This window comes from Homo sapiens, chromosome 8, assembly GCF_000001405.40.
Source record: "Homo sapiens chromosome 8, GRCh38.p14 Primary Assembly".
In the NCBI taxonomy this organism is placed as follows: Eukaryota; Metazoa; Chordata; class Mammalia; order Primates; family Hominidae; genus Homo; species Homo sapiens.
The window spans coordinates 27,234,369-27,258,702 of NC_000008.11; the positions used below are offsets into that span (position 1 = coordinate 27,234,369).

The 24,334-nt window shown below is 47.9% G+C and overlaps 1 protein-coding gene across 11 annotated transcripts, besides 3 other annotated features; it reads right to left on the reverse strand.

Annotated features, from left to right (window-relative positions):
• Positions 1 to 939: 939 nt before the first annotated feature.
• On the reverse strand, positions 940 to 24,036 carry STMN4 (stathmin 4). 11 transcript variants are annotated; one of them, NM_001283053.2, is made up of 8 exons: positions 23,983 to 24,036; positions 9,343 to 9,433; positions 8,029 to 8,124; positions 7,309 to 7,389; positions 6,686 to 6,894; positions 5,603 to 5,794; positions 4,858 to 4,911; positions 940 to 2,537 (listed from the first exon to the last, which is right to left on the reverse strand). In NM_001283053.2, the coding sequence occupies exons 2-7, from the start codon at positions 9,353 to 9,355 to the stop codon at positions 4,891 to 4,893; spliced, it is 612 nt and encodes a 203-aa protein (NP_001269982.1). In that variant the 5' UTR covers positions 9,356 to 9,433; positions 23,983 to 24,036; the 3' UTR covers positions 940 to 2,537; positions 4,858 to 4,890. The 11 variants fall into 11 exon arrangements, with proteins under 11 accessions (NP_001269982.1, NP_001381316.1, NP_001381317.1 ...); NM_001394387.1 differs by lacking the exon at positions 7,309 to 7,389 and adding an exon at positions 10,222 to 10,357 and having other exon boundaries at positions 6,686 to 6,891; NM_001394388.1 differs by lacking the exon at positions 7,309 to 7,389 and having other exon boundaries at positions 6,686 to 6,891.
• Positions 2,093 to 2,593: an enhancer, noted in NCBI's record as "H3K4me1 hESC enhancer chr8:27093978-27094478 (GRCh37/hg19 assembly coordinates)". NCBI's record gives its function as "activates a minimal SCP1, AML or CMV promoter by ChIP-STARR-seq in primed H9 embryonic stem cells {active_cell/tissue: H9 hESC(primed)}" and the evidence as "EXISTENCE:reporter gene assay evidence [ECO:0000049][PMID:30033119]".
• Positions 2,594 to 3,094: an enhancer, noted in NCBI's record as "H3K4me1 hESC enhancer chr8:27094479-27094979 (GRCh37/hg19 assembly coordinates)". NCBI's record gives its function as "activates a minimal SCP1, AML or CMV promoter by ChIP-STARR-seq in naive and primed H9 embryonic stem cells {active_cell/tissue: H9 hESC(naive and primed)}" and the evidence as "EXISTENCE:reporter gene assay evidence [ECO:0000049][PMID:30033119]".
• Positions 7,788 to 8,739: an enhancer, noted in NCBI's record as "H3K27ac-H3K4me1 hESC enhancer chr8:27099673-27100624 (GRCh37/hg19 assembly coordinates)". NCBI's record gives its function as "activates a minimal SCP1, AML or CMV promoter by ChIP-STARR-seq in primed H9 embryonic stem cells {active_cell/tissue: H9 hESC(primed)}" and the evidence as "EXISTENCE:reporter gene assay evidence [ECO:0000049][PMID:30033119]".
• Positions 24,037 to 24,334: the final 298 nt, after the last annotated feature.

Genomic DNA, 24,334 nt, shown 5'->3' on the forward strand with positions numbered 1-24,334 from the left:
AGGATGGGAGTGTCAGTCAATGTGGTTTATGGGCAGGAGATGGATGAGAGAGAGTGCTGGGAACAAGGCTTCCTCTTGGCTCTGGGTATTCCAGTGGGGAAATGCAGATGCTATGGGTAAATTTGTGAAAATAGACTCTTGAGGCCATCCATATGCTTGTCTCTGTTTGCTCAGAAAAAGTTGATTCTTGATGGAAAGGCCACAGCCTCTCTTGCTTTCTCAACCACAGCAGCTTCCTAAAGCCTCCTGGGCTGCAGCCTGGATGTCCTGGCTCTGTCTCCATGTTGATTCTAAGGCAGTAACCTTCAAAGGGTTTTGACTGCCACCCCCCATAAGAAATGCACTTTATGCTGCGATCAACACATATATACACAAAATATAAAATTGAAACACAATTTCCATGAAATAATGCCTCCATTATCACCTGTCACCCATTTTGATGTTTTGTTTTTCTATTCTAATCCACTTAAAAAAGAAAAGAAAGGTTGGGTGGGATCCACTACGTTGATCTCAAGATCCAGTGAGTCACCACTCACAGCTTGAGAAACCCTATTCTGGGACTCAGATGCTAGTTTGGAGGTGTCAAGAAGCAGCACACTCCAGTGGCTAAGAATATGGACTCTGGGAGCAAACCGCCCAATTCAAGTCCCTGTTCTCCCATTTACTCCCTGTGTGACCTTGCCAAGTTACTTACCCTTTCTAGACCTCAATTCTTTTGTCTACAAAATGGGATGATAAGAGTACCTACCTCCTACAGGTGGTGTGAAGATAAGTGAGATAATATAGATGTAAAAGTACAGAAAAGTGTAGGACATCTAGTAAGTGCTGCCTAAGTTAGCTGCTGCCATCATCATCATCATCATCATCATCATCATCATCATCATCTTTGATCCTCCTGTTATCTTATTTTAAAATAAAGCCAAATTACAGTACCACTAGTGAGAAGAAAGAAAAAAAGGCTATACCAAAGGGTTTATTTGCAAAGCTGTAAAAAACTACACAGTGTGCAGAGCAGAGTGGGAAGAGGTCCTGGGACCCGGTTAACACAGGCAGCCCCTGCACTCATGTTTGCAGGGGAAGGGAGGAGGAGAGCTTCTTTTCCAGCCATGGTTCAGTGTCCTGGAGACCAAGACTGCTGGGTCTGGATGCCTCCTTTGCCTTCTACTAGCAAACACTTTATTTCCTTGCTCGTATTTTCTAATCTACCTAGAATCTCAAACCCCCAAAGCATGGAGGACTTCTGCTATGGTGTGAATGTTGCTGTCTCCCCCAATATACAGGTTGAATCCTAATCCCGACACTACAGAATTAAGAGATAGGGCCTTAAGAGGTGAGATCATGAGGACTCCACCTTCATGAATGGGATTAGTGCCTTAAAGAAAAGGCTCAAGGAAGCCCTTTTGCCCTTCCCTTCTGCCATGTGAGGATGCAGCAAAAAGGCATCATCTTTGAAGCAGATGGCAAGCCCTCACCAGACACTGAATCTGCTGGCACCTTGATATTGGACTTCCCAGCCTCCAAAACTGTGAGCAATCAATTTCTGTTATCAATTACTTAGTCTAAGGTATTTTGTTACAGCAGTCTGAACGGTTGTGACTAAGACAAATTCCTTCTTACAGTGCATCTTGGGGACCATATTAGGATGTCAGTTCATTGAAAGGAAGATTGAGTTTCTTTTCTCATCAATTTAGTGCATGCTATCCAATAAAGATTAGCCCACAGAGGGGATTTTAAAAAACAGAAGAGAAAACCTTTCAATTATGCCAAAGGCTGGCCTGATTCAACCCACCTCACCCAGGCTCCAGATGCTTGAATGGCAGAATTAAGGAAGCAAAGGGGCATCTGCCATCAGATGGATGAAAGCCAGGTTTCGAGAACTTTTTAACAATTACCCAAAGGACACATTTGGGAAATAAAGAACTGGACACTTGGAGTCAATGTTTCATTGGTCATGATGATCAAAAAATGATGGTTCACACACACACACAGACCTCATCCCACCTGCTGCAGGGTGGAAGCAACACCACTGGTACTCACAACCCCTCTGGCTGGGTTCTCTGGTGCGCCCTGCAGCCGCTGCCCCACCCAGGACTCTGTCCTTCACCCTGAAGTTCTACCGCCCTGGTTTTCATCTCTCCTCAACATGGTGCCTGGAGGCTCAATGTCCAGGTAGAGATGTGAAAATCAGATCTGCGCCGGGCAGGGTTGCAATGTCCTTGAGTTCTTCTCCATCTCCCTTTCCCAAACTCTCTCCTCTCCCCTCTCCCACCCCGTCATTGTTCCCCGGAAACAAATAGGATGGCTTCACTGGTCAATTCTTAACATGTACAAACACCAAAAGCAGAGGAAACGCCCCTTGGCCACCCCCCTCCCCCCAAACCCCAGTGCTGGGAGCGCAGCCGGCGGGCGAGGCTGCCTGGAACGTGGAGCTGCTGGAGCTGTCCGGCTGACCTGGAAAGTTCTTTGGCCTCTAGGCTTTACCTGGAGGCCTCTTCCTTCAGCTCCTTGTTTTTCCGCACCTCCTCGGCGTGCTTGTCCTGGAAAGGAAGGGAGGGAAAAGGGCAGGTCACACAAGGCTGCCCGGGGACAAAAAGGGAGGCCAAGGGGCAAGAGAACCAAAAGCAAAGAGTGGCCACCACAGGCAGCGAAGAGCTCTGTCTGCAAAGGCATCCCGAGAGGGGCAGAAGGTGGCAGGTGAGGCTGGCAGGAGGCAGGGGGCAAGCCTACTGGTGCTGCCCCAGGGAGCTCAGGGTCCTGTGGGTGTCAAACTGCAGCAGGGGCCCACCTTACAGTGACCATGGGCCACGCAGCCTCCCCCTCCCTCACCTGGCCATTCTGTGGTTTGGATTAGATCATATGGCTTGACTTAATATAAGGAGCTGCTGGGGGTAATTTGTGCCAGAGGAGCAGGCAGAACAGACAGGCCTCACTACAAGCATCCCCTACAAATCACATGCACCTGCCTGCTGCTTCTAGTTCTCATCCATCTCCTTTGTGAGAATTGCCTTAACCCTCTTGGTGAAAGATGAGGATTCTTTGATTTTCCTTTGTTATTATTTAAACAAAAATAGAGATGGGATCTTGCTATGTTGCCCAGGCTGTCCTCTAACTCCTGGCCTCAAATGACCCTCCCACCTCTGTCTCCCAACGTGCTGGGATTACAGATGTGAGCCACCGTGCCCAGGTGTGGACTCTTAAAGTGCAAATCGACAGAAGAATTTTGAAAATGTTGCCCAACTCCAAAAAGTGGACTTTCTTACACCTATTATAAGAGAACCTTCTTTTATTTCACAGGGTAGTGCAGCCAAAAGATAGCATCTGCCTTCCAAGGCCCATCTGCAGGAGGATCTTGGCTGGCTCACTTCTCCAACCAGGCCTCAGTTCTCTGATCTTTAAAGAGAAGGGCATAGACAGGTGGTCTTTCACCCCTCAAGTTGTGATGTTTAGTGTTCACCTGCTCACTGTGCAGATTCTCTATTAGACAGTTCTCTATTAGACGGTGACTTTCCTGTGGGTAGGGACCACATTATCTTTTCTACTATGGTGCCTTACACATGGCAAGCACTCAACCAATGTTGTCCCTCCCAGAGCCTGGCACTGTCACATCCAGATGACAGAATCAGCCTGAAGTAGACCCACGGAGGCCCCCAGGTTTTCAGGATAAACTATAAACTACGAATCTGTCCCTGCAGACACCCTAGAACTTTCTGTGGCCTAGGAGTGAGGAGTGGTGTGCACAGGGCAGGGGTTCCCAAACTTTGGTATGTATCAGCATGACCTAGGAAGCACCATCCCTAGACAGCCAGGATTAGTGTTCTGGGGAAGGTTCCAAGTATCTGTATTTTTTAATTTTATACCAAGTGAGTCTGGTACACAGGGTCAGTGACCCACACAAACACTGGCACAGCAGGCATTGTTGAAGGTGTCCCTGGCCTGGTGCACAGGTGGACAGGGCAGAAAACATACACCCAACTCTCACCCAACCTCCCGCCTCCACCAGTGGGTAAAGGGGAGCAGGGGCCGAGGTCCCAAAGGGATGCTGCCCCCTCAAATGTCTGCTCTGACCTCACACCTCTTTGAGTCTACCCGACCTCCACAGCCATCACTCTACAATATGGACCTTTCCAGTCTCTCTGCCTCTGAATCTACCGATCTCTCTGCCTCTGAATCTACCTCCATTCTTGGGTGAGCTCACTGGGCAGAGCCCTAAGTTCTGCACTCCCTTTCCTCGGCCTCCAAAGTCTCTCTTGATGACAAAAGGCTGGCAGGACAATCACAGGCTGGTCTCCCTGAACCACTTGGACTTGGAGCCAAAGATCTGGGTGCTAGTCCTAGCTCCACTGCTTATTAGTTTCGTGACCCTGGGTAAGTCATTTGACCTTTGTTGACATGTTTTTCTCATCTGCAAAATAAGGATAACACCTGTCCAGCTTGCCTCAGGGACTTGTTGTGAGGATAGTGGCGAGAGGAAATGAAAGTATTTTGCAAAGAGTCTCTCAAGTGCTATATCCTGGGTCGAGCCTCAGTGATTTGTTTTGGGTCTGGCCTCAGGGCCATGCCCATCTTAGCCCAACCCCAGGTTTTTGTTAAGAGTTTGCTCCAAGTCATCCCTCCATAACTGGAGAAGCCTGAGGGCCGACCCAGATCACCTCCCTCCCATGTGACACTTGGTGGAGGCCCTGCCAAGCTTTGCAGGCTGGTGCATCAGAGCACAGGGGCTGCCTCGTGCTGGCCAGCTCCAGGGCCTACGCAACATTCAGACACCTTGTGAAGAAACCAGATCCTTCTAGGACCTGTTGCCAAGGGCCTGAGACTCTAGGTGGATGGGCAGGAAGGAGCGGGGACCACGCTGCTCACCATGGGACGAGGCCACCGATCAGGTCCCGGGAGTCACCGCGCAGCAGGCGGTTCCTGGAAATAAAACACAGAGCTGGAGCTCTCCCAGGAGCTGCAGGAGAAACTGGGGCGGCCTTGAGACTCAGGAAATGAGGCCAGCGTGTTCTCAGCAGAACGGGCCGGTATTCTGCTGACACACAGAACCAACCCCGGCCTCATGTTTCTCATATTTAGGTGACACCGTTCCATTTATTGACAAAAGGCAACATATTGGAAAGACCTGTGACTCACTGGGTCTGTGTCAAGAGGTTTAGAGAGAATCATGTTTCCTGCTCAGTGGGAATCTCAGCTCATCATACCCGTGACTTAGAGCCAAGAGCTCAAGAAAGCATCTTTCCTTCCATCAAATCAATCCATTCAGGGATGAAGCTAGGAATGCATACCTGCTTGTCTATCTCTACTCCTTTGTATTAGACAGGCTTCTTCTAGAAAATCAGACATATATGCTCCCTAAGGCAATGAAGGATTTTAATTGTGTAACTGTGCAGAATATCCCCCAAGGAAACCCTGAGTCTGGTTCCTATTTCTTGCCTCTGACTTCCCTGATCATCCTTCGGAACTCTCTAAAGATCCTGCCTAAGAAAAAGATCCTGATTTTTGCCTGAGGCTGCTTCCTCCCTGAGATGATCAGCAGGTCCCCGCATACTTGCTGCAGAAGGAAAACAGCATGTCCCAGGAAACTCCTCTCTAGCCAGGGACCCCTCACCTTCTCTTGCAGCCGTTCCAACATGGCGGCGAGGTGGGCCTCCCTGTTCTCCTTGTTGGATTCCATCTTCTGGGCCAGTTTTTCCTTAGCCATCTTGATGAAGTTGTTGTTTTCCTCAATGGCCTTTTGGATCACCTCTCTCTCATGTTCCCGTTTCTCTGCTAGGTGTTTCAGGAGCTCCGCTTCCTGGTACTGGGGAAGCATAAAGGCAGAAGGAGGCCCTTCACAGTGAGTGTGCCAGGGTTTATTTTCACCATCGTGGCTGAAAAGCTGCACACTCAGAACACTCACCTCCCTGGGCCTGGTCCCCAGACCATTAGCAGGAAACAAGGACACTTCCTAAATTCCCCCCACCACTTTCAGAGCCTTCCACATTCTTTGATTTTTTTTCCCAGCCTTTTCCTAAATACCTTCATGGCCCTTTTGCTCATTGCCATCATTCATTCATTCATTCACAAACACTAAATGATCTTATACTATGTGCCAGGCACTGGTCTAACAGCTTGGGGTAAAAAAAAGTCTCACAGAGGTAAGACATATATACATCACTAAAATCCAGACTAGTGTAGACATATGCCCTAAGGTGTAGACAGGATGCACTGAAGGAATTCATGATAGGGGATTATTTTCTTTTTGAAAGATAAAGAAAAGTTACACATAGAAGACGGTATCAGAATCAAGCCATGAGAATCCATAGAAGGCATCCCGGGCCTCGAGATGCACTACACCATGATCTTCTCTCCCTCCTCCAACGAAGAAGCTCTTTCCTTAATTCCCTAGCCTTTCCCTAAATCCTTAGTATTTGTCAGTCTTATTTTTGCCACCATGCATATAGGGCCACCTCTTGGAGGAACATAGCAATGTCCTATCCCCCTAACCAAACTGTGAGCTGCAAGAGGCCAAGGGTGTTTAGTTCTTTGTTTCCCTCAATGGTGTCTCATTCTCCACCGCACACTCGGGAGATGCTCCCTAAATATTGCAGATTGGTGATGAGCTTATCCCAGCTCAGGTCCACCACCTGTCTTCTCCACCTCCCTCCCCTTTATGCTGAGAGGGAGGAAAGAAGGAAGGGTCAGCATTTACCTTCCTTCGCTCCTCAGCCGCTTCTAGTTTCTTCTGGATCTCTTCCAGGGATGGGTCTCGCCGCCTTGGCAGGGAGGCGTTGAACTCGGGAACCCCATCAAAGGAGGGTGGCTTCAGGATGACTTCAAAGGATTGGCCCGAGGTGCATTTGTTCAGCTCGATGACTTCCATGTCGGAAATGACGCACCAATTCAGGTCCACCGTGTCTGCTACAGAGGGCAGAGAAGGGGCTGCTCACGTCCTGAAGAATGCACAGGCACCCAGCAAGCATGCGGCGCATGCACACGGGAGTGGGAGAACTGGGGCCCCAAGCAAGCTGGAGACTGGGGTCTGGCTTAGTCCTACACCCTAGTACCTAAGGGCAATGGCCTCTGACGGGGCTGAAGGAGTTTGTAGCAACAGTGAGGCTTCAGCCTGCAAGAATAGGGGGCCCCAGGCAATGTGATTTCCTACGACACTGGCTGCTTTTGCCTTTGCTTCCCCCACCAGCCTCCTCTGACTGCTGAGCTGCTCAATTTGTCGTCCGTGGTGACAGGCAGGGGTGCGTTTCAGCCCCCGCCCACCCCCGGCCACAGCCCATCTGACGCTCGGCCTGCGGAATCCCTCCGCTGCCTCCCTCCTACCCTGAGCTCTTCTTTCTCTCCAGTCAGCACTGTCTTTCCGCTGGCTTTCATCCTTCCTCCTACACTGTCTCCCACACCAGCCTAGACAGAAAAAACAACCTCAGGTCATCCGAGCATGCCTGTTCCTTGGTGCCAGACCAAACCAAACCCATCTCTGCTTCTAACCAGGACATTAGGAGGTGACCTGGTCCCCGAGCACCCCTGGTGAGGACGTGGCCACCCAGTGCTCCCTGCTGGTGTCTTGGGGCTGTCCCGGCTACAGGCCCCACACAGCATGGCTGCCACAGAACCTCCTCTTCCCACCTCTGGACTCTCCCAGAGCATTCTCTACCCTTCCCAGAGGAGACCTGTTGACCTGGAAACTGACTCACATCGTCTCATCTTCTCTTCTGGTCTAGATGTTCCCCACAGGTAGAATATCTGTCTGGCTCACCTTTGCATACCCCCCAGTCTCGATTTGCTGGATGCATGCACAGAGGTGACAAGATCGAGTGCACTCTGGGGGGCGCCTGATGCAGACCTTCATGGCCTCCCCCTAGTGCCCAGGCTGGACCACTGCAGCTCAGACCCTCGGGCTCACCCGCTGTGATTTCATCGGCACTGGGAAGGAAACTGTCTCGGGAGGAGAGATTCACGGGACTGGGGTCGGGGTGCAGGACCTATGAGGACAGGACACAGGGCCCCCCCGCCCCTCACTTTCCTGGCTGAGCCTTCACTGACCTTCATATTTGTAGGACGACTTATTCAGGGGATCGGCCAGGAAGCAGGAGCAGAACAAGGACACCAGCGGGAGCTCCTTCATCTTCTCTTTGTAGGCTGCGGAAACACCCAGTCAGGTGAGGATGGCGCCTCTCCTAGCCTCAGAAGTCAGCGTCCTCACGGGTCTGGGGCTCTGAGCAGCCCAGGGTTCCATAAAGGCACTCAAACCACGCAGGCACACGCCAAGCCTGGGGATCCAGGCCTTTCGCCCTGAGCCGTGCTGTTCAGGATCCCTGTGTGGGATTCGAACCCACTCCTGTCTCCTGTGGAAACCTAAGCCTTCCAGAGCATCAGATCCTTCTCCACAGTATGTCTCCTCCCCTTCCAGACCAGAAAGCAAAATGCCCTCATGGAAAGGTCCCAAGCACCAGTGCCTCAGCTCTCCATCCCCCAACATCTGCCCCAGGACATTCCGATTCTTTTTCTCCAGGACACAGGAGACCCACACTCCATTCTACTCCAAATACCTGGCAGCGCTGGCCTGCAGGGTTAAGGAGCTGGATAGGAGGGGACCGTCCTCACCACCATCCCTCTGGTCTGCCCCTCACAAGGTCAGGCTATAAGCCTTCTCTGACCTTTCCAACACAGTGCACAGAGCCTGGGGGTCGCTGGTGTCCCCAAAAGCTGGAGCATATCCCCGCCACCCTCTAGTCTATCTGTGTTTGGGATGTCAGGGGCCAGAGCTGTCCTGGCTCCTGAAAGTCCCTCTCCTCACCGCCTTGGGGCCCGTGTGTCTGGCTGCTCAGGTTGCAGCCCTTAGCTGACCCCTAGCACAGCGCAGGTGTTGCCCCCATCCTCATTTGCTTGTACAATTTTTTGTTGAGATGAGGGTCTCAATATGTTGCCCAGGCTGGACTCAAACTCCTGGGCTCAAGCGATCCTTGTGCCTCAGACTCCTGATACTGGGGACTATAGGCATATGCCACTATACCTGGCTTCCTTTTACAGATTTGAAAATACGTGTAACTGCAAAAATAATATATAGGCATCATAAAAACTTAAAAAAAAACACACATATACAGATGAGCAAAAGGAAGAAAATCTCAGCTGTGACACACCCCCCACCACTTGTTCAACTTGTCGCCTGTGGTGACAGGCAGTGGTGTGCCTCCCGCCACTGCCTGCATGCCCCCAAGCCTCCCATCACTACCTGCACCCCCCCACACACCCCGTGTGCTTCCTGCCAGCTGTGTTCTTCCCTGCTTCTGTGAGTCCATGTTGGGTGAGGGCAGGGGGAATAGCCTACGCCCCTTAACACATGGTTTTTGTACCTACCAGCAAGGGTCATGTTTCTGGGATCTGGTGGCTGAATCTAGCTGAAAGTTACAGAGTGGGTCTGTCACCAGCTTGGGACGCTGTCACCAACCTGAGAAAAGGGGAGGACAGGATTTTACCATCGATGGATTAGACAGGTTATTCTCATAAGAAAGGTCTTTATACACTGGGGAGGGAATCTCAGGGGTACCTCATTTGCTCTTCCTCCAGGCCCTCTCCCCACCAACTCTCCCTGGGGGTCCCCTACCCCGACCTCCCTCCCACAATGATGCTAAACAAGCTCAGATTCCATGAACTAATGATACTTCATAATTGGCTTTCCAGTCTCAAGCCCCCTAGCACATGCAAGCGTGGGTTTCCCAAAAACGTATGGATCAAGGGGTGCTCATCTGTCTCCCTCCATAGCTCAAGAACCTGGCCCAATTCAAGGGTTAGGGTGAGAAGCAAATCCTCCTGCAGAATCAGCTGGGAGGCATTCATAAAATAACTGTGTGTCCTGGACTTCTCCCCGCACATGCCCCAGAAGTCTTTGGGCCAATTCTGATATGGGAAGAGAGGGAATTGGACATAGGATGTTAACAGGCCTCTTCAGATGCCTCTCACCTTCCCTTTCCCAAGACGACTGACCTAAGCTGTGTTTGACCCTATTTAAGACAATCCGGGACACAGGAAAGAAAAACATTAAGGAATCATGTCGTCATCACAGGGCCAGCCAGCACACCACCAGAAATCAGCGTGAGGAATTGCTGTGGGACACAGAGATAGGGCTCCACACCACCAGAAATCAGCATGAGGAATTGCTGTGGGACACAGAAATAGGGCTCCACACCCCCAGCATTTGCCAGGGAGCCTGGGAGGTGTCCCTGGTGTCGGTAGCACCTGAGCAGTGCCTTGAAGGATGAGTTAGAATCAGACAGGAGCTGGCAGGAGGGCATTGTGCAAGGGAACATCACGGCCAAGGGTCGGGGTGAGAACGCCACTCAGTGTCCGTGGGATCAGGTCAAGCTAGTTGACGCTAGATCAGAAAGTGGAAAGAGGAGGGGGCGGGGCAGGAGACAAAACAGGAGAGTCAGGGAAGGAGCAGATCTGGGAGGATCAGAGGGGTGGAGGTGATGGGAGCCCATGAAGGCTACTACAAAGAGAGTGAGGAGCAGCCAGCAGTGAGTGGCCATCCTCAGGACCATTTGATCCTCGGTCACCCTCTGTGGTCACTGTGCCAGGGGAGGGTGGCGAGAGCCAGCAGGCTCACTGCCTACATCCTTGCCAGCCAAAGAGACTCTGAGACCCACTTCAAACCCCTTGCCTTTCTGTGCTGGCTGGAGACTGGCAGGAGGAGGTAATGGGGCAGTGAACTCAGCTCTGGCTTTAGGGCTAGACCAGTGTGGGGTCAAATACAAGTATCACCTCTCTTACCAGCTCTCGCTAGTCTCTTTCTCCATCTTAATCCTGCACAGAGCTGTACAAATTAAATGAGAAAAACCCATGCATAGCATCCAGCAGACAGGAAGCACTGAATAAATGTTAGTCTCTTTGCCCTGTCTTTTGCATCAGGACAGCTATCAGGTGCCACATGCCTGCTTCAGAGCCATTACCTCTGGACCCACAAGTAAGGACTGTTGTTGCCATGTGCGGATGGGGAAACTGAGGCTCAGAGGGTTTATGTGCCTGCTCAGGGCAATGCAGCTAGCAAGTTAGAGTGCCCATTTGAACCGAGGTCCAGCTGGACTTAAACTGCTTTGTTCTCCTTGTTCTTGTTGTTGTGCTTTGGAGCCAGAGGCCCCTGTCATTGCAGCACAATGGGTCTTCTCTCTGCAGAACTAAGCTGGTCCTGACGGCACCAGTGAGTCCCTGAACAGAGAGGCAGGCCTGGTGCCTGCATGCGACTTCCCTGGTCATGACACCCCATCCCGCAGTCTCTGCTCATGGCCAGGCTGACTGACAAGTCACTGGCAGAGTTAGTAAGCCCTTGCCAGAGTGGCAGTGGCCTTGGACTTCTACCTGGGGAAAGGATCAGAAGTGGAAGCCTGAATAGGTGGAGGGGAGGCAGAGAGGGATGCCTGAGAAAGAAGGCAGATGGAGTAGGAGCAGGCAGTTGGAGTTATGGAATGTGCCTCCAGCCCGAGCTAGAAATGATGATAGGACCCTGTGCTCAGGGGGCACTCGACACCCACCACATTATCCTAGTCTAACTTTGCATGAAGCTGGCTTAGGCTGACAAGACAGGCATCATCAGCTTTGCTTTCAGATGAAGAACCTGGGGTTTGGAGAAGTTCAGACGCTTGCTTAAGGTCACACAGCTCTAAGGGTGCAGAGCTGGGTCTAGTCTCCAGGTCTCTCGACTTGTAAGCTCTTCCATTGTAACCAGTGGAAGAACTAGATACTCACTAATGCTTTCTCTATGGTCCTGAGGACTCACAGAAAGCCAGCCTGGCCTGGGGATATGAGTTAACTTTAAAATATGTGGTAAGTGCTTTCTACATGGAAGGAAATGGGCTAGGAGTTTTAGGAACACAGAGAAGGTCAGAAAGCCAGAAAAGGAAAACCAGGGCAAGAAACGAGATGTTGTAGAGGTGGGCAGAGGTATGCATGGTCATGATCAAGGGATTTGCAATGGAGACCTCTCAGTGTTAAAAATGTGTGCTTACTGAGCAGCTGCTATGTGACAAACTCACTTTAATTTTCGTAATAGCCTCGTAAGGCAGGAATTACTATCCCCATTTTATAGAGAATGAAATCGAGGCTCAGGGAAGCTAAGTGCCTTTTCAAGGCCATTCAGTACAGTAGGTTAAATAATGTCCCCTACATGCATACATGCTCATCCTAACTCCTACAACCTGTGAATATGAGCTTATTTGGAAAGAAGGGCTTAATGAAGGATCTCAAGAAGAGACATTCCTGCTTGCCTGAGAAAGCCTTAAACCCAATGGCAAGTGTCCTTATAAGAGAGACTGAGAGAAAAGGCCATGTGCAGACGGAGGCAGAGATGGGAGTAAGGCAGCCACAAGCCAAGGAACCTTTGGGGCCGCCAGAACCTGCAAGAGACAAGGACAGATCCTCCCCTGGAGTCTTCAGCAGAGTTCAGTCCACTGACATCTCAGCTTTGAACTTCCAGCCTCCCGGTTAGTGGTAAAGTGATGCAGTAGCCCCGGGGAAACTAATGTCCTCAGGAAGTGACAAAGCCAGGGCTCAAACCCATGGTTTTTTTCACCTCAGGTACCAGCATTCATACATGGGCTGATTTATTCCTCAAAATGATCTATGTGGCCAGGCGTGGTGCCTCATGCTGTAATCCCAGCACTTTGGGAGGCTGAGGTGGGCAGATCACTTTGAGGTCAGGAGTTTGAGACCAGCCTGGCCAACATGGTGAAACCCCATCTCTACTAAAAATACAAAAATTAGCCCGGCATGGTGGCGCATGCCTGTAATCTCAGCTACTAGGGAAGCTGAGGTAGGAGAATCACTTGAGCCTGGCAGGCGAAGGTTGCAGTGAGCCGAGATCGCGCCACTGAACTCCAGCCTGGGTGAGAGAGTGAGACTTTGTCTCAAAAAAAAAAAAAAAAAAAGATGATCTATTTACTTGTGCCTGTGGGTCCATAGGGCCCTTATAAATCCTCATGCCAACAGTCACATCATTTCTTTTGCACTCAAGACCCAAAAGATATGCCCAGGGGACATTCTGAGAAAGGACACAGAAGATAAAAAGGTGGGAAGCAGAGGGCACAGAGATGAAAGGAGTCTTTGCCACTGGGTGGCGCCAGCCATGGCAGGAAACCCAACTTTATCCCTAATAACCTGTGGCATCTGCGCCCAGTGGGGCCAGTCACATGTCCCTCCCCAGCACCTGGCCTGGTTGTGTGATGCTAGGTTGTCTTGTGGGGTTTGTTAAATGGCCATGGTCATGTTATCATGCCACAGCAATATACAGCCTGCAAGGGAGCGAGGGCCACCAAACCTCTCCTGGAACTGTCAAAGAAGGACAGTAAAGGTGTTATGCCCAAGGTCAGAGCACACAGAGTGCCAGGGATTCAGGTGGCATGATGAAGATGAAGAGACAATAGAGGCCATAGGAAGCATGAGGCAAGGAGTGCAAATCCTCAATGGGAGATTCTATCCAAGACGTCAGCCAGCAGAGCAATGGAAGGCAAAACCCAGTGCAGAAGCAAACCTCCATCCCCATCCCTCAGAGGTTCCTTATGTGTTTTCTGTTAGGTGAGAGCCAATCCTAGCCCTTCTATTGCCCCTAAGGAAGACCAGGAAATTCATTGCATCCAGCAGCAACAAAGATCAAAGGAGCCCCAGACAGAAGGTCAATGTGGCAGTCATTCAGCCAATATCCAGAACCAGAGCTAGAGCTCAGGATGGCAGGCCCTCCAGCTCCTGCCTGGTGGTCACTGTCAAGCACTTCTGATGGACACAAACTGGTTGGTCAAGAGCCAAGGCCTCCCTGGGCAGCTGAGCCCCTGTGCTGGCAGGGATTGATCCAGTGGAGCAGGTAGAGAGAGGACTCTATTTATTTATTTATTTATTTATTTAGTATATAATTCTGTGCCAAGCCCTCTGCTAGATCTTCAGATGGCAAAGATTCGAGTGTGGCCTCATCCCAGACTGTGATGAGGTTACTATGCAATTGAGGTTCTGCAGTGCCTATCACCTTGCAATGACTGTGAACCTGACTGTGTGCCAGGGATGTGGACTGGGTTTACTCAGGAACACAGGAGGCCCACTGGGCTGCATGCAGGGTGCAGTGGGACAGAATGCTAGAATAGGAACTGGAAAATTGCAGAGACCTCTGGACCAGTGAAGGACTTTGTGCTTTATCTCCCACCCAGTAGGAAGCCACTGACATCTTTTGAATGAGGGGAGAAGAGAACAGTGATGCTGATAATAATAGCAATAATAACAACTACCATTCTTGGGCAGGAAAAGCACGGCTGTTATCTCATTTTTCTATTAGGTTCTTTGAGAATGAGGACATTGAATCTCAGCAGTTAAGTAAGTTATACCGTCGTCACACAGGTAGGTAGGGGCAGAGCTGGGATTTGAGTCCTCATGTGTTTCATTGGAAAGCCTCTCTGTCTTTAGGTTCTGCTGCGAGTGTAAAAAGATTCATCTGGCAACATTCGTTTGGGGAAAAATTAGGAGGGATAGGCTGGAAGCCAAATAGCAGTCTGGGTACAAAGTGTGGGTTGGACCTGCTGGATTGAGTTCCACTCTGAAGTTTTCACATCTCACCCAGCACTATTTTTCCATTTACAAACTGATCCATACATTTCCCCCAGCACCAGCATCTAAGAGTCTGTACAGAAAAGCAAGGAACCAGAGCTTTTTGTTGATGGCTTGAACCATTAGCATAATTGTTAAGAAATAAATTAGTGGGTGATAACCCCCCCCAAGCACAGAGCCAGCCGTAAGGAAACACAGAATGAGTAAGTTTTGATTGGAGGCAGACGTGGCTGAGAGTGAAGTTGTAGGCTGTTGACTGAGGAGGGATCTCACGGTGGGACAGTGGGGAGAAAAAGGTGGTTAAAGTGAAGAGATCAGAGCCCTCGATTTCACCCAGAACATTTGAATGTCAGAGATGGAGAGAACAGGCAATCACAAGCCCATGGTTCTCGACTCAGTGCAGTCTCACTCCCGGGAACTACATGGGACTTTTCAATGGTCATGAAACTGAGGATGCTACAGGCATTTAGTGGGCAGAGGCTGGCGAGTCTAAATGTCTTGCATTGTATACATCAGTCCCACACGATAAACAACTGTCCCTTCCAAAATGCCAATAGCCTCCTACTTGGGGACCAAAGATTCTGAGGTCACGCAGAGAACTCCTGGCAGAGATTGGATGGATTCCAGTGTCAATGCCCTTCTCCTTTATACTTGCTCCTTCTCTGTCCCCAAACACCATCCTGGATGAGAGGGGACAGCCCACATGGTCACCAGAGCAGCTCTGAATGAGAAGATGGATACACAGAAGGGAGACCCCAGCAGGGCACTTTCATGCAACCCACACTTCCAGGCTTTCCGTAATTCAGCTGATGTCCAGGGGGCAAACAGAAAAGCACCAAGTTCTCAGATGACACGTGGCCACCTACTGGGTGTATGCCTGACCTCTTAGTGCCTCTGACTGCCCATACGACAGAATGAACAAGCATTTTATTGGTCACTGTAAGAAATGCCCCAAGAATGCTTGCAGGATGTGTCAAATTCCATCTGGACTATTTTTGAGGGATGAGCAGATAATGCATGTCCCAGTGGCTTGAACAGAGTTGTACCTGGCAAGGGTTTCGGAAGACAAATCTAGAAACTCTGGCCAAGAATCAGGATGAATACCTCATGGTTGTGGGGGCAATGAATTCTGCCTGAGGTCCTCTAACCACAAGCAGTACAGGAAGGTGGTTCTTTAAGTCTGTGCCCTATTGCCAATCTTCTTCAAAATCCAGTTGAGGTCATATATTTACCCAAAATTAGCTGCATAAGCTATCTAAATGCCACATTTATTTGCTTTGGGATGAATCATGTCAGCTCAGAACAGTGGCCCTGGTTATTTCATGCTGATCAAAAGGCTCTGATTGGCAGCCATGTGTCTTCTTTGGGTTTAAAATCAAAAGGAGATAAATTATTTTTTCATAAATGTGGTTTTCATTCTTTCTACAATATTTACTGAGTATTTAATTATGTGCCAAGCCCTCTGCTAGATCCTAAAATAACCACAGGAGTTTTTGTTGGTGGAAAAGTAAAACAGGTCCCTGGATGGGTATCTAGAGCCATTGGAGCCTTTGGAGGCTCTGCAGATGCTCTGCGGGCCTCAGCATGGTCTTCCGCGATAATGTGGACCATGCCATAAAGGGAGAAGGAGTGGGAATTAGAGTGCAGACCAAGAAGGAACCAGCGAGACCTACAGAGGGAAACTGGGCAAAACAGAACAGTGTGTGATTCACTGGGTCTGGGGAAACTGGCATTGTTTAATCACCTCTTAGGCTCTTGCTTCCAACAGCATCTAGAGGAAGAGATGATGGGGACCTGGACAAGGGCAACTCCCAGAGGGTACCCAACAGGCTTAGGCTTCTAGGAAATAAGCACCTATGACAAAAGCAGAACTCTGAAGGCCTGAATCTGAGGAGTCCTTCTTAGCACTAACAGCTATGTTAAGAGGCAAGTCAGAGAAGGAAAATTAAACTGGAAAAGTGACAGCCCCAAATAATCCACAATGATGGGATTTTCTGGGCAATTTTTATTTCCAATTTAATATATGCAGAAGCGGCTGAGTGCGATGGCTCATGCCTGTAATCCCAACACTTTGGGAGGCTGAGGCAGGCAAATCATGAGGTCAGGAGTTCGAGACCAGCCTGGCCAACATGGTGAAACCCCATCTCTACTAAAAATACAAAAATTAGCCCAGCGTGGTGGTGCATGCCTGTAGTCTCAGTCCCAGCTACTCGGGAGGCTGTGGCAGGAGAATCACTTGAACACAGGAAGTGGAGGTTGCAGTGAGCTGAGATCATGCCACTGCACTTCAGCCTGGGTGAAAGAGTGAGACTTCATCTCAAAAAATAAATATATATATATACACGTATATACGTATATATATATACATATAATATTATATATATACGTATATACGTGTATATATATTATATATATACATATGCAGAAGAATCAGCATCACAGAAGTCAAGTTCAGGGGCATGGACTTCCATTCTGGGCTGCTGGAGAGTGTGCAAGGCATGTGACCCAGGAGTTCTGTGAGGTCCTGGGTTAAAAGCACATGAAGCCATCAATATACAGGGCAAGCCCTTTTAATCTTACTCCCAATAACAACAATGTGATTGAATATTGCTTTATGATTACATCTATAGGCATATGTGCATCTTATAAATAATGCTTTAATTACAAACATATTCACATTATATTTTGGAAATTCTATGTAACAGAAAAAAAGAAAATAAATCCTTGTAGTCTTGCTACTTTATGCTATTGGCATTTTCTTCTAGGTTTTTTCCCCTCTGTCTACTATTTTTACATAAGCCAGAAACCAGGGCTTTTACAAAAGCAAGGGAATCTACATTTAAAAAAAATTTCTTTTTTGCCATCTTTTTTTTTCTTTTTTTTTTTATTATTATACTTTAAGTTTTAGGGTACGTGTGCACATTGTGCAGGTTAGTTACATATGTATACATGTGCCATGCTGGTGTGCTGCACCCACTAACTCGTCATCTAGCATTAGGTATATCTCCCAATGCTATCCCTCCCCCCTTCCCCCATTCCACAACAGTCCCCAGAGTGTGATATTCCCCTTCCTGTGTCCATGTGATCTCGTTGTTCAATTCCCACCTATGAGTGAGAATATGCAGTGTTTGGTTTTTTGTCCTTGTGATAGTTTACTGAGAATGATGATTTCCAATTTCATCCATGTCCCTACAAAGGACACGAACTCATCATTTTTTATGGCTGCATAGTATTCCATGGTGTATATGTGCCACATTTTCTTAATCCAGTCTATCATTGTTGGACATTTGGGTTGGTTCCAAGTCTTTGCTATCGTGAATAATGCCGCAATAAACATACGTGTCCATGTGTCTTTATAGCAGCATGATTTATAGTCCTTTGGGTATATACCCAGTAATGGGATGGCTGGGTCAAATGGTATTTCCAGTTATAGATCCCTGAGGAATCGCCACAAAGGGCTAATATCCAGAATCTACAATGAACTCAAACAAATTTACAAGAAAAAAACAAACAACCCCATCAAAAAAAATTTTTTAAGGTAGAGATGGGGTCTCACTGTGTTGCCCAGGTTAGCCTCAAGCTCCTGTGCTTAAGTGATCCTTTGGCCTCAGTCTCCCAAAGTGCTAGAATGACAGGCATGAGCCACCGTGCCTGGCCAGGGCATACATATTTTATCATTTTATTCTGCACACCAAATCTTATACACACTTAATAGATCATCAATTTAGGTAAGTGACTTGATTTGCCCAAAGTCATACAAGTAGAAAGTGGTAAACATGGGATTTGAATTGAAATCTTCTTATATCAAAGCCCATGCAATTTCTGATAAAGCTCCATGTTATGTCCTCATATCCAAGACTACCCTAGATGTAAATGCAATGGATGATTGCTGATGGCATGTGATTGAAGGGCAGGCAAATACCCCATATCAGCCTCCCTTCTATGGGTGCATTCCATGCTTAAAATTCTCACCATTATATCTATCCTTCAGCTCAGGCATTGCCTCAGAGAGTCCCTGTTAAAATGCACACAACTGACCTATCAAGTGTACTAAATTAACTCATTTTCATATCAGCAGAGGACAACCAATGAACCTTGTAGAAATTCCCAGAGGTCAAGCTCTCTGCCCATTCTGCAGTCCCAGAGTTAGTAGCAGCCATGGAGCTCTCTAGAGTTTCCATTCCTACCTCTTTTCAGAGGAGGAGACAAGGAGCCCAAGAAGTGCCTTGCCTGAGGTCTCAGAGAGAACAGAGCCAAGCTTCTGGCCCACATTGAACTACGCTGAAAGAAATTCCTTATCTTTTGCAATATTGCTCTTGTTTTCTTTATTCTTTCATTCTCCAATGCTTTGTAAATTTTACATATTACTTTTAATTTTAGCTTTATGTTAAAATCTTTTATGTCTATATTTCACTACATTAAGAACATTAAGAATAAAAGAGTATCTAATGATTTTATTTGTGTGAGATGAGAGGTTTAGCAACAAACCTCTCTGTACAAACCTGGTTTTGTCAGAATGATCTGGATTTTCAGTTCTGGATTATCGTTATTGAGTTCTTTCTTACATTATTCATTCAACAAATATTTATTGAGGATCTACTATGTGCATTATGCAAAGCACTAGGGATCCAGTGATGATCTTACAAACACATCCCCTAGCCTCAAGATGTTTGACATTTGCATTTAGCTTTATAAATATGCCAATTATAACTAGACAATGGCTCTAAATTCTGGTGTTTTCTTTACTTGTGACCATCATTGATACCATTTTTTTTTGTATTTGATTTCTTTAATTTGATTTTTTTTTTGATTAGCTAGAGTACTTCTTGGAGTAATTGTTTTTCAGAAAGGAATTGTTTTTTTTTTTAAGACGGAGTCTTGCTCTGTCACCCAGGGTGGAGTTCAGTGGTGCAATCTTGGCTCACTGCAACCTCCGCCTCCCGGGTTCAAGCGATTCTCCTGCCTCAGCCTCCCGAGGAGCTGGAATTACATGCGTGCACCACCATGCCCAGCTAACTTTTGCATTTGCAGTAGAGATGAAATTTCACCATATTGGCCAGGCTGGTCTTGAATTCCCGACCTCAAACGATTTGCCCACCTCAGCCTCCCAAAGTGTTGGGATTACAGGTGTGAGCCATCGTGCCCGGCCCATGGTATGTTTCTTAAGTCCTTACACATCTGGTTTGATGGCAGGTGCAGATGCTAGACAACCCTCTCCAGGATCAATAGTTGAATTGTGTTTGTGTGTGGGCACACAGAGTCTGCCTGAAAGGTGCTACTCCCTGACCAACTCTTTCTGCATGCTCAGTGTGAACTTTTCTCCCTCTAGTCTGGCTGTCTAGGCACAGACTCCCACATGGTCCACTGACACTCTGCTCATCCTCCCACTCTGGGTCTTTCATCCTAGATCTGCGCTCAGCTCCTTTCTCTGGATTCATATTCTCCAGTTTGTTATCCAAACTCTCGAGTTGCCTAAAGCCCATCATGAATCAGGCCATCCAGCCCCAGGCTCCCGCCTTTTCTGATCTGTTCTGTTCTCCTGCCTCCCTCCACCCGCCTCTGACAGCAGGACCCTAGGGGAGTGGACACGCAGCTCTCAGTTTTAATTGATGGAAAGGCCAGCAAGCTTTGGGCTTCGGTGGGGAGGGATAGGTATGCCTATGTGTGTGTAGGGGATGGAGTGGGAGCACTCACATGTGTGTAGGGGGTGGGGTGGGAGTGTTCAGATGTGGGGGTTCATGTGTGTGTAGGGGATGGAGTGGGAGCACTCATATATGTGTGTGTAGGGGATGGAGTGGGAGCACTCATATATGTGTGTGTAGGGGATGGAGTGGGAGCACTCACATCTGTGTGTAGGGGGTGGGGTGGGGTGGGAGTGTTCAGATGTGGGGGTTCATGTGTGTGTAGGGGATGGAGTGGGAGCACTCATATATGTGTGTGTAGGGGATGGAGTGGGAGCATTCACATGTGTGTGTAGGGGATGGAGTGGGAGCACTCGTGTGTGTAGGGGATGGAGTGGGAGTGTTCAGATGTGGGGGTTCATGTGTGTGCATGCATATGTAGGTGGGAAGGGCGCAGGTGTGCATGTATTCATTTGTCTTCCTAGAGGGACTAGAGATGTAAAACTCTGAAAAAAAAAACAATTTTTAAATGGCAGGGAAGAATTTTTGGTATCCATCCCTCTCTAAAGAAAAACAGAAAAAGCAACCTTTCCCAGGCTGTCACATCTCTAAATATAGCAAATGCTAATTTAATAAGCAAATCGAATTATACATGATGTATGTTTATTTCTCAAGCTTAAAAAAAATGGATTTGTTCCCTGAGTGGCGTTACGAAAATTACACTTTACATGTTGTATAATTCCCCAAAATTTCTATCTCTCCTCCCACAAAAGCAGTTTCATTTCTCCCCATCTGTGTCTTCAAAATCTCCGGGAACTCTATGTTTCCAAATGAGAATCTCCAGGTAAGTATGAAATAATATAAAGATATCAGAGGGGGCAGGGGAGACAGTCTGAAGCATTCTTGAAAAATTAAGCCTTTCTTTGATTATGATCTTGATACTTAAATATCCTATTATTTAAAAGCAAGAACACAAAATATCTGAATTTTTCCAATCCGTCTATACAGTTGGTTTAATATAGACACAATTCTCCTCCTTTCTTTATCTCTCTCTTACCTTCCTAATTTATTTGCCCCATGTTCCTTTTTCCTGCTCAAATACCCTATTCTCTGAACCTCAGTTTGTCAATCTTTGTTGCTCTATTTTAAAAGTTATCAATCAGCCCACATCCCCCTACAGGAAAAATGTGGTTAAAAATGGCCTAGTCCAGTAAAAGAAGATAGCCACTTGGAATTTGGGTTTCTTTTATTGAACCAAAGTGAAATCTAGCTATTAAGCAGCCATCCAAGCAAAAATGCAGGACACTTTCACCGTCCCTCCACCTCTAGTCGACAACCTGGCCACTATGGACAATATGAGACCAAACTTCTCCGTCTTTGATAGGTCCTTTAGAATGAAGTAACTCACTAAAGAAGGACAGCTTCCCATAAAAAAAAATATTTAGATTTAATTACAACTTAAAGGCACTTATTTTTTACTTGGGAATAGGGACACACAGTGTACAACATGGATGAGCCTTGAGGACATTACACTCAGCGAAATAAGCCAATCATAAAAAGACAAGTACTGTATGATTCCACTTATCTGAGGTACCTAGAGGAGTTAAATTTATAGAGAAAGAATGTAGGATGGGATTTTCCAGGGGCTGGGGCACAGGAGAATGGGAAGTTAGTGTCTAATGGGTATGGAGTTTCAGTTTTGCCAAATGAAAAGAGTTCTGAAGATTGCATGCACAGCAATGTAAATCTTAATACTACTGATTTGTACACTTAAAAATAGAATGGCAAATTTTATGTTATGTGTATTTACCGCAGTTAAAAATTAAAAAAAAAAGGTTGACTATCTATTGGGAGTTTTTCATAGGCTTGTAGTCTTAGGGTTAGGAGAGGTAATTAGAAGTCACTTAGCCTAATGTTTCTCAAACTTTTTTGACTGAAGCTCACAAAAGGTGCTACATTTTATATTATGATCCAGTATGTATTTGTCATGATATGGACATATACACACATATATGATTACAGATACAGACATATATGTACATTTGTACACACAAATATACACATAACTGATATGTAACTAAAGACAGCATAGGAAGCATTAATTATCCCATTACATGAGATGTGCTCTAATTATTTTCTACTCTTATTCCATTTTATTAAAACAAAATACCATTTACAATCCATAAGTTGATTTCACAATGTACTAATGGGTCTCAGCCTTCAGTTAAAACACTAACCTAGACCAATCCCTAACATAATGCAAAAATCTCCTCTAAAGCCTCCCTGCTGGGTGGCCATCCAACTTCTGCTTGAATGCCTTCAGTGACAGGGAACTCACTCCCTACAGGGCAGCATGCTCTATGGTAGTCCCATCTAGCACTTGCAGATCCTGCTCACTCCAGAGCTGTTCCAGGAGTGGCCTGGGTGGAGCTGAGAATGCCAGGAGGGCTGGGACCAGCTGACAGGTGCTCAGTGGTTTCCAAGAGGGGTGAAAGTACAGCTCCTAGCAGCAAAGCGGAGGGTTGGGGTGAGCCAGAGACTAGGGCAGCATTGCTGGGAGACTCTGGCTTCCTTCTGTGGAGCTGCAGATCAGACCTTTTCCCCTCTGCCTTCTCACTGCTCCAGCACTATGATTATTTCCTCATCTGAAGGATGATCTCATTCCCCTAGCACCCGCCTGTGGGAGAGGTTTCCTCCCCCTGGGAGGCGGGGGCTCAGCCTCAGGTGGAGACAGATTCCCTCATATTCCCTCTCAACCTCCCACCCATCCCTCGAGCCTCAGCAGGCCACCTCTGGCCATCCCACCTTGTATTCTCTTGGTCTTAAGACAGGGGGTATCCCTTCCCAGGGCATTCAGATAAGGGTGCCTGAACATTCCTGACCTCTCCCTCCGACCCCCATACAAACACACACACACACACACACACACACACACACACACACACACAGCATTCTGGAGACCTGCTCATGTTCAGGACAACAAGACTCCACCACACCTGATTGTGTCTTCCTGGGAGAAATAAAACAAAGACAGCACCGCCACGTGGGGACAGCTGACTGCTGGACATCAAAACCCTGGGTCCCAGGATGAGAAATGAATGATGCCTAAACTCCTGGCAAGTGTGGTGGGCTGAATAAGGAGGGGGACTGGCCAGGGCCCCAGTCAAGGACCAGGGCGTGGCAGTTCTGGGTGTCTGCAGTTTTCAGCTTTGGAGCCAGCCACCTCTGGCCAGGTAGGATTAGGCTGACCTCAGGGTGGGGCGGGGCCAAGAGGAGGTGATGATCTCATTGCATCCTTAGAACCAAGAGAAAAAAGTAACCCGTGCATAGAGCCGAAGGAAAAGATGTGTGATCAAAATGGGAATGGGAGACAAGAAAAGCTGTGTCTGAGGAAGAAAAGGTAAAAACACAGGAGAGCTTCCCACTTGAAAGGGATCTTCAGGTCACAGCCAGCTGCAGGGGCAGCCAGACTCAGCACAAAACCTTTCTCCTTAAGCAACAAAACATTTTTATGCAGAAATAGCTCACCATAGCATCTGACAATTCCCACCCATCCTGCCTCTCCTGAGCTCTGGAATAAAAGTGGCACCCGGAGCCCACCCTCACCCCTTGGCCGAGCGCCATTCTTTCTGCCTCACCCCCTTTCCCCCAAGATCTGACAAAGTTTAAATGATTGAGTAGAACCAAAGGTGACACAATAGGTGCTAGGCCCCTCGCTTCTCCCCACTGTAGCTGCTGTCTTGTTTTTTCTTTTGCCTGAAAAGCCTCAAATTAGTTGCATTTTATTTCTACTTACGTGCAGTCCAGTTAGAAGCGAGCTGCTCTCTTCCTCACTCCCTCAATTAGTGGTACCCTGGGCTTCTCTCAACATCAGCACCACTGCTCGCTCTTGCCATGACATCACCTCCAAGCTCTGTGATTGGCCAGCAGTGGGTTGCTTGGCAATTGGACAGTCTCCTCTGGTGGAGCAGGGATTGCCTGAGTGAGTAACTCTTAGCAGGCCAGGGAGTGAAAGATGATGTCAGACAAAGAGCCTGCTTTCTCTGCTGCCTGTGGAGCTGGAGAACCAGAGGGGTGAGGGCGGAGAGGAAGAAAGAAAGAGGGAGTGGTACAGAGAAGGTTGGGGAGAAGCCACAGCTTGCGAGCTG